Genomic DNA, 12,332 nt, shown 5'->3' with positions numbered 1-12,332 from the left:
TCAGCTACAAAATGGCAGAGTTGGGAAAGGAAGGTGGATCTGTCTGACTTCCTGTAACACAGTTGGCTGATGTGATGTAGCTCCCTGTAACACAGTTAGAGCCTAAAACCAGAACTAGATCTACTAGAATATCCCTATAACAGAATGTCAAGGTTCCTGAAAAAGTTATTATCCACCTACTTCCCCTCTACTTTGGGGATGTCCTTGGTTATTGTGAAAAGAAATTTCAAGAGCTCAGAAATGAGTTCATTTTTTATTGTGGTAAAATATACATAATATTTATCACTTTAATTATTTGTAAGTGTACAATTCAGTGGCACTAAATACATTCACAGTGTTGTGTAACTATCACTGGTATCTACACCCAAAACTTCATCATCCTCAACATAAACTCTATACCCCTTAAACAATAAGTACCCATTCCTTTCTCCCTGCTGCCCTTGGTCTGAAATGAGTTTTTGGCCTGATATATAGACCAGGGCAAGTTCTGTCTTAATTTTGGTGCTGATGCATCCTTTTACACCTCACGTAAGACAAATAAGACTTAGGGAAGATAGAGATCCCTGTGAAGGTAGGAGGGGGAGGAACAGTGCCTTTCATATTTACATACAGGTCAGGGTGTTGTATTATCTCATGTAAAGGGACCTAAACTGAGGGCCTCTTGTCATTCTTCACATCCCTTGGGGAGATGTTTGCAGTTTTGGTTTCAATACTGGCTGGGGATTATGCAGGGAGGGAAAATAAACAATTATGCCATCCCTCAGTGCACACAAACACACAGCCAGGAGCCGACTGCACTGTGGGTAAAATGACTCCAAAATTGTGTGTAATGAGTAGGAAAAGATTAGAGACAGCTCTTGCTATGCTGAAAATTGACATTAGTGAAGGGAAAAAAAAAAAACTCTACTAGTCGGCCTAGGAGGTCTAATTCGAGCAGTAAAGATATAAATAAATAAATAAAAGCATGTCAAGATGGTATTGGTGCTTTTTTTCAATGAGCTCTATCTGGCCGGAAGGCTATTCAGCATAATGCAAAATTAAATTATAAAAACTGGCTGAATATTTAGATGGAAGAGCCATTTGGAAGCAGTTTATTTAGACGAACCGGCAATGACCCACAACAGGGAGACATCAAGCGTGAAATTTACTAGAAATTAGCACCAGGGTCCCAGCCTCAGCATGAATAGCTTGATAGGATGCAAATCCCAGTGATATTAAGCTGCCTCACTGCTGGTGCTACAGGGTCACTCTCAGTTGGCTTTTCATGTTATACTTATTATTTTTTCCTGGGACAGGTTATAAATAACAATAAAAAAAATTTATTGAAAACTTTAACTGGAATGAAAGTCTATTTTAAAGTCTCTGATTACTAGGATGTTGAAATACAGTGTCAGCCGATCATAATGAACTAAGGAGAGACATTATGTATATGTAGCTTGTGTATGGCTAATGTTTACCTTCAGTTTCTAACAGATAATCTTGCCCAAGCCAATAAGATCTGTTTCATTTTCAAGAGTGTGGGACACTGTGGAAACACTCTGCCACCCTGTTCCCTTGTTTGATACACATGGCTGCCACGGTTTATCCATGTTTATAACAATAAAAGCCCTAGGCAGGGTTGGTGCCTAGGTGCTGAGAGCACACTGCAAAGGTTGTGTGTGGTCACCATTCATGCAGATGTGCTTTGCCCAGCATGCTAGAAAACTCCAAGCTCCCGCCTCTCCAGTGAGGAACCTATCAGTATTTTCCATTCCCAGTTGCGTTTCTCAGGGCCTGAGAATTGACAGCACGTGCATAGCTTTAAAATTCTGTAGACTGATTTCTAACCTAAACCCTTGGGGATCGCCCCTCCCCTGCTGCTATTGGCTGTGCTTTTGCTCTGTCTCTTAAATACGAAGGGATTTCAGACAATTGTGTGTCAGATTGTTGCCAAGTGTTTCAACCTGCCTTTCAAAATAAGTGGTTTGGGGCAGCTGCAGTTCAGTCTGAGCATGTCGATTACAGAGTTTATTTGTGTGTTTGTTTATATTTTAATAGCCTGCTTTTTGGGTGTTTTGATGGTTGGGCTGTGGGTCTATAGGTGTTCCAAGTTAGATGGAGGCAATATATTAGTCCCAAACATGTCAGCTTTAACAAACCCTGATGCTCCTTTCCTACTCACAGTCTTGGGGCCGAAAAATACTTGTTTGGCAGTCAGATCCAAGCCTCACACAGGCTGGTAGTGTTATCAGTATAGTTTTGAACATTTCTGAACACAGAGGAAATCCAGCAGCAGTTGGGAATATTCAGTCATGTATTCAAGTCTCTTTTTCTGGTTTTATTTTACTCATCATATTAGATGTTGGAAAGCAGAGTACCCCAGTCTCATGCTGTCTCTCCTAGCAGTAAGAATGAAGTAGTAGAGGCTGGGCACAGAGGCTTACACCTGTAATCCCAACATTTTGGAAGGCCGAGGTGGGCGGATGGCTTGAGCTCAGCGAGACCAGTCTGGGCAACGTGGTGAAACCCCGTCTCTACAAAAAATACAAAAATTAGCTGCGCATGGTGGCACGCACCTGTAGTCTCAGTTACTTGGGGTGTTGATGGAGGAGGATCGTCTGAACCCAGGAGGCAGAGGTTGCAGTCAGCTGAGGTCGTGCCACTGCACTCCAGCTTGGGAGACAGAGTGAGAACCTGGCGCGCCCCGCTCCCCACCTCAAAAAAAAAAAAGAATGAAGTAGTAGAATGTGGACATTAGGGCCAACAAGATCTAGATTTGAGTCTTATCTCCACCACTCACTCTTATTTAAGCCTCAGTTTACTCACCTGCAACTTGGATATATAAATAAGATAATGTTCTGATGATTAAATGATTTATATGTGTGTATATATAATCATGTTCCCTGGTACACAATAAGCTAGCCATGATGATGACAAAAAGGAGCCCACGTCCATTTCATAAAATTAAAAATCACACACACACACTCATCTTCATTTGAAACTGTTTGCATATACTATGAAATCTAGTATTTTTTTAATAGATGAATGAAAATACATTTTAAATAAAATCTCCCCTTCTTTTTGAGATGTCAATCTGTTAATTATAATACAGAGATAGATTTTGTTGTAGCTAAGTCTTTAACAAGAAGAAGTGAGTAAAAGAGCTGGAAACTTTGTCTTCACTTACCTCTAACTTTTTTTTTCTTTTTCAGGTAGAATGACTTTTTGTGCTGTCTTTTATTGCTTTATTTTCTCCTTTTATCTATACCTTTCATTTCCTCTCTTTGTATGATATCATTGAGGGACACTTTTCTGTTACTTGTTCGGAGACTGTACTCTTGGCAGCACTGAAAAATGTACTGCTAATTACACAATTATTTTATTATGTAGCACTGGTTGAAATATCCACTAAAGAATTAATTTAGTTAAAATAATTTGAACTGAGCAATTATTTTCATAACTACAGAATTAGCGTAAAGCACTTAAAGTCCTTTATTCCCTGCTCTTCATACAGCAGTTGTGTAATTAGCAGTAAATTTTTTTGGTCTTAGCTTTTCTCCCAAAGGAATAAATGTCTTCACTCTGATCATATACATGGAGTACATATCATACACATTCCACATAGAGTAGGGGGTGTTTTCTGGGGTAACTTGGAATTTCTGAAGTCTTCACAGACACACCAGGTTGGGGCAGTGGAGCATGTGCCTTGCAGTGAACTGTGCTCACTGATAGTTTGTATATTAAGCCATTTTTACTTTGGAGAAGGTGGCAGTTTAATTTGCCAGTAACTACAATGAAAGCAATTTCTATTTGGTTTGCTCTTAACTTCCTGAAAAATGCTTCTTTGCCTTGGATTCCCAGAATTGATTTATTCCAAATTGAGATCCTCTCTTTGATAAGAAAGTTTGATCTCAGTTGAACCTGTTATTTGGTATTTAGAAAGGATCCATTGTGGCTCCACTGAAGTACTCATTAAACATCTGGACTCATAAACCTAAAGCTTTAGCAATGGACTTCAGTGAGCTGGGAAATGGGAAGTCCATAAAAAGTTGGGAAATAAATAACTGATCCAGTTTTCCAGGGACTCACTTTATGTGTACATCATGGGTCCTTTTCTTCAGGCTGCTCCTGGCTTTGGAGGGATTACAAAATGTACTCTTTTTTTTTTTTTTTTTTTTTTAAAGGCAGGGCCTTGCTGTGTTACCCACACTGGAGTACAGCAGCATGATCACAGCTCACTGCAGGTCTCAGCCTCCTAGGCTCAGATCCTCCCACCTCACCCTCCTGGGTTGCTGGGACTATGGGAATGTGCCACCATGTTTTGCTAATTTTTTTGGTTTTTGTAGAGATAGGGTCTCTCTCTGTTGGTCTTGAACTCCTGGGCTCAAGCGGTCCTCCCACCTCAGCCTCCCAAGGAGCTGTGATTATAGGTGTGAGCTACCATTCCCAGTCTACAAAGTGTAGTCTTTAGCAGAATGAAGAGGTGGTTCCTCTCTTGTTTTTTGTTTATTTTGTTTTATGTTGTTTTTGAGACAGGGTCTTGTTCTGTCACCCAGGCTAGAGTGCAGTGGCAAGATCATGGCTCACTGCAGCCTCGACCTCTTGGGCTCAAGTGATCCTCCCACCTCAGCCAAGTGACTGGGACTGCAGGCATGCACCACCATGCCCAGCTAATTTTTTATTATTTGTAGAGACAGGTTCTCACTATGCTGCCCTGGTTGGGTCTGTTCTTCTCATGTGGCTGTGTGGTATTTCCTAAGTATTTTTAAAATTTTTCTCTCATTGATACCCTATAAAAATGCAACTGTTAAAGAATTTGTCTTTCTTTCTCATTATATTCTTTCCAGAGTATATAACTAATTTATTCAGCATTCATTCATTCAGCAGATATTTGTTGAGCACTAACTATGTTCAGGCACTGGGCAGGGATATCGGGATACCAAGATGAAAAATAGTTTTTGAAGATAAAATTTTTAAAGGATCAATTTCCATTAGGTGCACATTTGAAGAGCTCATCCTATGCTAAGCATCATGAGAATAACTGAAAAGAGGTAGAATAGTTCCTTCCTTTAGTAAACTTACTGTAGTGGGAGAGCACATATTGACATGAAAAATACTCAACGTTTGTAGAGCAAATGTGAATTAATGTGGTGAAACGTGAGTACAGAAATTCAGAGAGGATATAAAATGGAAAGGCAATCTGGAAGACTTACACACTGTATCTTGTGAAAGACAGTGCATCTCTCTGTTGCTGTCTTGTGCTTTTGAAGATCCTCTGGAGTCTTGAATGGGATACAGGTCGATACTCCCTTTAGTCTATAGGGTGGCCAAACAGGAGGCATAGTATAAGGAGGCTCTTCGTGGCCAGAGGTCCTGAACAGTGTTTAAAAGTACTGCTTTGAGGAAGAGAAATTTCTTGATTTCTAATTTGTCTCATTCTCCATAGATATGTACGACCAAGTGCTGAAGTTTGGTGCTTACATTGTGGATGGCTTGAGGGAGTGCTGCCAGCCTGTGCTGGTTTACATTCCTCCCCAGGCTGAGCTGCGGGGTGGCTCCTGGGTGGTGATTGACTCCTCCATCAACCCCCGGCACATGGAGATGTATGCTGACCGAGAAAGCAGGTAGCGTGCCTTCCACATTTCCATTCACTGCCTTTAGGGACCCTGTAGCTGTTGGTTTCCTCCTGGAGAATGTTACAGCCATGGCACTACAGCACCCACATCCTGTGATTCCAAACCAAAGCTTTTTCCTTCCATTACAGTCCAGGTCCTCACTCTAGCATTTCAGGAAGCTGAAGACCATGGTGTTTGTAGCACCCAAAAAAACTGTAAGGGAGAACCTCAGGCTTATTGGGAGGTGGTACCTGAAACTACCTAAATAAAACAGATCTAATCTGGCATCCTTTCATAGTCTGTTCTCACCTCTTTCCTAAGTAAACTTCAAAACGTGTTTCTTTGACATTTTCCAAGGAAATTCTTACCTCCAGTCGTTTTAGTGGACCGCCCGCTTCTCTCTTGTCCCCCCAGATTCAGCCTTCTATGTCAAAGGCTGCTTAGGAGAGTCCAGTAGTTTCACTGTCAAACCTCTAGGCTGAGAGGCTTATTATTTACATTCTGTACTTAGGGGTTTATTATTTTTTAAGTCCTAAACTCATCTGATATCAGATCAGAGACAATTCCTCTATAGACTTTGGAATCAGACTGTCTGGTTTCAAATCCAGTTCTGCCTCTTGTTATATTTGGACGAGTCTCATAACTTACTAAACTGTAGTTTCCTCACCTGTAAAATGGGAATAATCACAGAACCTTACTACATAGTAGATGGAGACTGGGCATAGGATTGTTGTAAGGATTTATATGTAAGTTATTAGAACAGTGCCATGTACATAGTAAACATTATCTATAATTTTTTTAAACTAGAAAGCTGTGGGTTTTTTTTTAAACATGTTTGGGGTAAAGTTTCTGGGGACTGAACATCATTAGTATGCACTAAAAGTAACCCTGAGACCTTTGACTCTGCTCATTTCCATAGCGCTGGGCAGAATGTTTTACCTCCTACTTGGCCTGGCTTAGTGTGTCTGATCAGTGTCCTACAAGCAGACTGACAGCTGTGGTATAGGTGAGGTAGATAGATAGATAGATAGATAGATAGATAGATAGTATTGATGAAGTATTGCCCTTCATTATTGTACATCCTACGTGATGGAGGTGGTTCCCCTGTCACTGTGCCTACAGCATTTTTTTCCCCTGGAAAATAATGTGATTCCTGTTACTCTTATCAGCTGTAGGTGGTGGAATCTGTATTCTTCTCCCTTTGAAATGGAAGTCGACTGGTGTGGTAATGAGAATTATTTTAATTGCTTTTTGCCAGGCCTTTCTCATACCTCACTTAGACACTTCTCTGGTGCCTACTGTTCTCCCCGGGGAGATGTCTGTTAACCATAGGTGGGCAAAATGATAATGAAGCTATTTCCTGGTCTACAAATTGTAACTGGCCTCATTCTGTTGTCTCCTTCCTTTAAAGTGCCTCTATTTCTGTTTTGTTTTTTCTTTCTTTCTGATCCAGGGGATCTGTTCTGGAGCCAGAAGGGACAGTAGAAATCAAATTCCGCAGAAAGGATCTGGTGAAAACCATGCGTCGGGTGGACCCAGTCTACATCCACTTGGCTGAGCGATTGGGTATGTCTGCTTGTCCTTCTGGCAAATCAATGAGCCATTCAGCTGATTTGTAATGAGTGCATTCATAGGCCAGGGGAGGAGGCACTGAAGCATTTGATCAAATTCATGATAATCTTTATTTACTGTCCTCTATATGGTAAGAACCCTGGTAGAATGAAATAGTGTGTATAATAGGGAAAGTGAGCCCTAAAAAAGCAAAAGTCACCTGATTTTTTTTCCTGATATTTCCTTAGAGTACAAAAAGCCCGTCTTTCTAAGATGTCCTTGTAGAGAATGATTAGCTAGAGTTGCTGCTGGGGGCAGGCCTCACCAGAGAATATGCTAGATTTAAATATGTCCTGTTTCTGCTTGTTTCTTTGGACAGCTCACTTCATTTCTGAGAGATGGGATAGAAAAGCAGGAGTCTTTACCCAGGTGGTGTTCCGGGGTCTTCCTGAGCTAGAGAAATAGAAGTAAAGATTGCGCACTGTGTGCTTCCAAACAGTAGCTGCAGCCAGAATAGCCCTGAGAGCAGGCGTGCTTAATGCTTCCAGCCATTGCTCTGTTGCTCATTTGTTTTCAGAGCTTTTGGAAGCCACTTGGCAATTTGAACATAGGACTAAACCATGGGAGTCCTGTGTTGAGTCCAGAGTCTAAATGAGTTTCAGATTCTTTTAAAACACTGATTTTCTGCCCAGGTCTCCCATTGAGCCCCTTGCTATGTTAGTAAAGATAATTGCTCGAGGTTCTTTTGTCAGTTGGTTTGTCTTGTTTTTGTTTTTTTCTAAAGGAACAGAGATTGCCTTTAAAAGGTAGTGAAACTCAGTGAATGGAGAAGAGAGATGCTAGCTCATTTATGTTCCAAGTGGTAATTTAATTAATAAAGTACCATTTGTGGACTGTATATCCCCACCATCCAGAGACAGAAAAATCCCGTTTGCCTACACTGTGGAGACTGTACATCCAGGCATTTGGAGCCCTGAGCCAGGTTGCCTGCCAAACACGGTGACTTGGGTTACAAGAAACCCTGTTTGTGTCCCATTGTTTGCCACTGGGTAACAGCCACCAATAACTCTAACTCACCACAGTCTGATCCTTTTATGGGGAATGCACACATACAAGAAATGAGAGTTGTTTCTAAAATCTATTGCCACCCAGAATTGAGGTGGGTTTTTTCTCTTTCTTTTCCAAACAGAATAATTACTTCTGACCAACCCTGTACACTTTAATTAAAGTAACTGCAGCTCAAGAGCAAGTTACTTACAACTGTTCATAGAGAGAGCTCTAAAAGCTTCAGCCACTGATAAGCATCTCACTTAGATGGCTCATAATTGCTCCCAGCATCCCCCAATTGTTGCCGCTGTGTTTACCACTAATTCCATACAAAGGCAGCAATGCCGCAATTGCAGGACACAGCAAATTGCATCATTTTCCTTTTTCCTTTTTTTCTTCCTTTTTCTTTTCCCTTTTTTTTTTCTTTTTGCTGGTTTTCTTTCTGGCCAATTTAAAATTTGTCAAAGTCGGTCTTCTTCTGGATCACTGCCCTTTGATATTTCGCGCACTCCATTTGCCACAAACAAGCCGCAGGGCCGCAGTTCATGCTGACTCTAGCAGAAGCAGAGAGAGCTCCATTTATCTTACACTGCCTGCTGAATTCCTACTCATTAACTGGGGGTTCACTGCCTCTTTTTAACCCCCCAATGGCTGTTATCATCCCTTCAGAGTAACTGGGTGGTAGGGAGAGGGATCCTTTCTCCTTTTGCAGAAGGACTGGATGGTGAGGGGTGTGGAGATAAAGCTTCTTTCTCTTCAAGGAAAGTGATGTCGCTCCCACCTTCAACCAGCACCTTTTAACTTTTGAAGCACATGAAGGGGAGAGGGAGGAGACTCCCAAGTGATAGCCGTTTAATCATTTGTTACAAATCATCTCATTATCAATTTCCTATCCGCATTGGAGAAAACCATATTTATTTAACCTTGACCAAAATGGCACTTGAAAAAGGACCCTTAGTCTGCTAAATGTGAAGCAGGCTCTGGCCTAGGGCAGCTTGGGAACATGAGCAGTGGACTTGGAATAAGAATAACGAACTACGAGTCTTGTAAATTATTTAACTTCTCCGAACATCAGTTTTTTTCCAACCATAAAGTGGAGATCACACCTCTGCCTAGCTAATATGAGGAGCAGATGAGCATGCATTTACTTCATTGCATCATTATCTTTCTGTCTTAATCATTAGAAAAAGCAGATGGCCATGTTTGGTATCCAGTATTCTCTGTGGCTCAGTCCCACATGTGAAAATATGAAAGAAACAGAAGTATAGTCCTGTCTCTCAGGGATATCCTATACGGGCAGCTGTCTCTGCGACAAAGCAGGTCAGCCTAGATATAACAGGACATATTATGAACCCAGTTCCTTTGGGGTTCACAATGATTCTGGCTCTTTTAGTTTGCCTAGAACCAAACTACCAAAATTCTTTTTCACAAAGTGGGTGAAAATGGTCTCATTTTTCAGACTGGGAAATTGAGGCCAAAAAAGTGAATCATCTAAGATACAAAATAAATAAATGTACATCAGAGTCCAGAATGGAATTCTCATTCTCTGTGTTCTCCTTTTCTCAGGATTTCTTCAGATTTTTCCTCAACTGAATACTGAGCCCGAACTAAATTAAACAAGGATTCTTTCCTTTTGTAATCTAAAGCCATTTCCACAGAGAAAATCTGATTTAGGAGAAAGCCTGTAGGAGTGGATGTTATCTTGTGTTGCCGTTCTCTCCCCAAATCTGCCTCTTTACTGGGGAGCGTGCTCACAGATCACTTAGACAAACCAGCGCACAACTGATTGACTGTGTTCAAAAACATAATTACTCCGGGCACGGTGGCTCACGCCTGTAATCCCAGCACTTTAGGAGGAGGAGGCAGGCAGATCACCTGAGGTTGGGAGTTCAAGACCAGCCTGACCAACATGGAGAAACCCCGTCTCTACTAAAAATACAAAATTAGCCGGGCATGGTGGTGCATGCCTGTAGTCCCAGCTACTCAGGAGGCTGAGGCAGGAGAATCGCTTGAACCTGGGAGGTGGAGGTTGCAGTGAGCCGAGATCGCGCCATTGCACTCCAGCCTGGGCAAGAAGAGCAAATCCCTGTCTTTAAAAAAAAAAAAAATCATAATTGCTATGTATTTTATAAGAATGAGTAATATTTGACTTCTGAGCAGCTAACTTCATCTCTTCTAGAATTTTTATTTTTTTAAATGGCCTTTTGTCATCTTACATGGTTAGTTTGGGTGGAAAGATGGTGAATTACTAGTTTGCAGGTCTGTGATTATAACAGAAAATATGTAAATAGTGCCTACACTGATTCCTAATAGAAGTAAAGGGAAGAATTACCTCAGAAAGAAAAGTGAGCAAAGCCCAGGCCCCAGAGTCTTGCATTGCTGAATCAGTTCTGACCCTGATTCACAGAACCAGGGCTTGGTAGAGTCATTGCAAGGAGGAGAATTACTTCCTACCATTTGGTTGCCTTAAGGAAATTAAATTTCTTCTCTGGAAATGGAGCCGCAGCCCTCCAAGTCCTTTTTGTCTCTCTCTGACATCCTTCTACTGCCTCACAAGGCCAGGAGCAGGGAGAGTGGCTGTGGAGCGGGACGGCCTTGCTAGCCTGGCCTCTTGAGTGCTGTGACCTGAGGTCCTCTCCTGGATCCTTCCCCTCCTCTTGTGTTCAGAGAGAAATGACAAATCAATTTAGATGGAGAGAGAACTGTCCAGCCCAAGTGTGAAGCAATTGTAAGTTCCCCACTGTCCCTCTCTCTCAAAATGAAGAGCACCTGGGCAAAGGAGCCGCTTAGGGGAACTTGTTCTTAGTTGTGGCCCTGTTCCCAGGCAGCTGGGCAGCCTGCCATGCAGCACCGCACTGCGCCCACACAGAACATGCCCTGACTGCCTGCCACAGGGAGCAGCAGCATGGACTGAGTGAGCACTGCTGCTGGCCCTTGCCTGGTCCTTCTAGGCCTGCCCACACCCACCATGCCTTCAGGGTCAAGGTTGCCCCAGGTGCAGATATGGAGCATTGTGGTGGCAGGTGAGGATACGCTTCTCTGTAAAAATCTTCAGGAATGCCTTCCTCCCAAGCCTTCTCTAGCAGCCAGAATGACAGGAAAAGGACTGTTCCCTGGGCTAAGGGGACTTAAGGGTTAAGCTGCTTTTCTGGCAGAGGTGATCAAAGTATCTGAGCTGTGTTTTTCCAACTCTTATGTCCATCTTCGAGAGGCTGAAAGCTGAAAAGAGCCAGAGTTGCTTGTTTGAGGCAGAAAGTATGTCTTTGCCTGGAAAGTTAAGACTAGGAAAGAAAGAAGTTCCGATACGCATGCCTTAGTGAGTGGTCTTTCACCTCTCACCTGTTGAACTTGGAGTGTCCTCACTGACACTATGGCCACTGTGTCCTTTGCGGTAAGGAGGCTGATGAGAAATAACACGAGGCTTTCTATCACGAAGGTAGATATGGGATCTTGCCTCCTCTCTTTTGTTAGCAGTAGCTGAAAACCTACCCCTCACACTGATTCAGAAGCTATTTGGCTCGGTGAAGTTTAGTGCAATAGTGACAAAATTTTCTGAGAAGAGAAAGGGGTCATTTTAGTTTGATCCTTTAATCTGATTGTATTTATAAAAGCACCTGGGCTTGCCTCCCCCAAGGAAGCAGTGTTTCACAATTCTGTATGGCCAGAGGGACCTGGCAGGCATTTAGTTAGAGGGAACCCAAGAGAAAGCTGTCATCAGAATGTGTCTTGGTCCCAAATGACCAGATCCCCGTATCCTGACCTGCCAGACATAGGGAGAGCAAATTAGGGAAGGAAAATAATGAAGACTACAGAGGCATATTTCTACCAGAAGAATTCAGAGAATTCTGTGCTGTTCCCTGACCTTTTTTATATGGATATGTCTGCGTGGAAACACAGGGACGGGACTGATGGGGGAGCAGTATTTTTTTTTATTCCTGTTTGGAAATCTCTGGGTTTTCTATTAATATAATGATTTTTAAAAATATGAACAGTAGAGCACTAACACTGTTGCAGGGAACTTTAGGGTTAAACATCCCCTGAGAGGATTGCTGTTAAAATCAATATGCAAATGTGAGTGTATTTAGATAGGTATGGCCCCCTTTGAAGAAAAGCAGATATATGAAAATGGGGTTTTAAAAA

General features: G+C 42.1%; 1 protein-coding gene across 25 annotated transcripts in view, besides 2 other annotated features; it reads left to right on the top strand.

Annotated features, from left to right (window-relative positions):
- Window positions 1-12,332, top strand: part of ACACA (acetyl-CoA carboxylase alpha) — a 321,845-nt gene that overhangs the window by 288,146 nt on the left and 21,367 nt on the right. For all 25 annotated transcript variants that reach the window (XM_011524701.2, XM_006721853.2, NM_198834.3 and 22 more), the window contains 2 exons: window positions 5,426-5,603; window positions 7,048-7,160. In XM_011524701.2, coding sequence (XP_011523003.1) covers window positions 5,426-5,603; window positions 7,048-7,160 — 291 coding nt within the window. The remainder of the gene's footprint in view (window positions 1-5,425; window positions 5,604-7,047; window positions 7,161-12,332) is intronic.
- Window positions 10,403-11,007: an enhancer, noted in NCBI's record as "H3K27ac-H3K4me1 hESC enhancer chr17:35464619-35465223 (GRCh37/hg19 assembly coordinates)". NCBI's record gives its function as "activates a minimal SCP1, AML or CMV promoter by ChIP-STARR-seq in primed H9 embryonic stem cells {active_cell/tissue: H9 hESC(primed)}" and the evidence as "EXISTENCE:reporter gene assay evidence [ECO:0000049][PMID:30033119]".
- Window positions 11,008-11,612: an enhancer, noted in NCBI's record as "H3K27ac-H3K4me1 hESC enhancer chr17:35464014-35464618 (GRCh37/hg19 assembly coordinates)". NCBI's record gives its function as "activates a minimal SCP1, AML or CMV promoter by ChIP-STARR-seq in primed H9 embryonic stem cells {active_cell/tissue: H9 hESC(primed)}" and the evidence as "EXISTENCE:reporter gene assay evidence [ECO:0000049][PMID:30033119]".

The sequence above is a fragment of the Homo sapiens genome, chromosome 17 (genome assembly GCF_000001405.40).
Source record: "Homo sapiens chromosome 17, GRCh38.p14 Primary Assembly".
In the NCBI taxonomy this organism is placed as follows: domain Eukaryota; kingdom Metazoa; phylum Chordata; class Mammalia; order Primates; family Hominidae; genus Homo; species Homo sapiens.
This window is presented reverse-complemented; position numbering and strand designations above follow the sequence as displayed.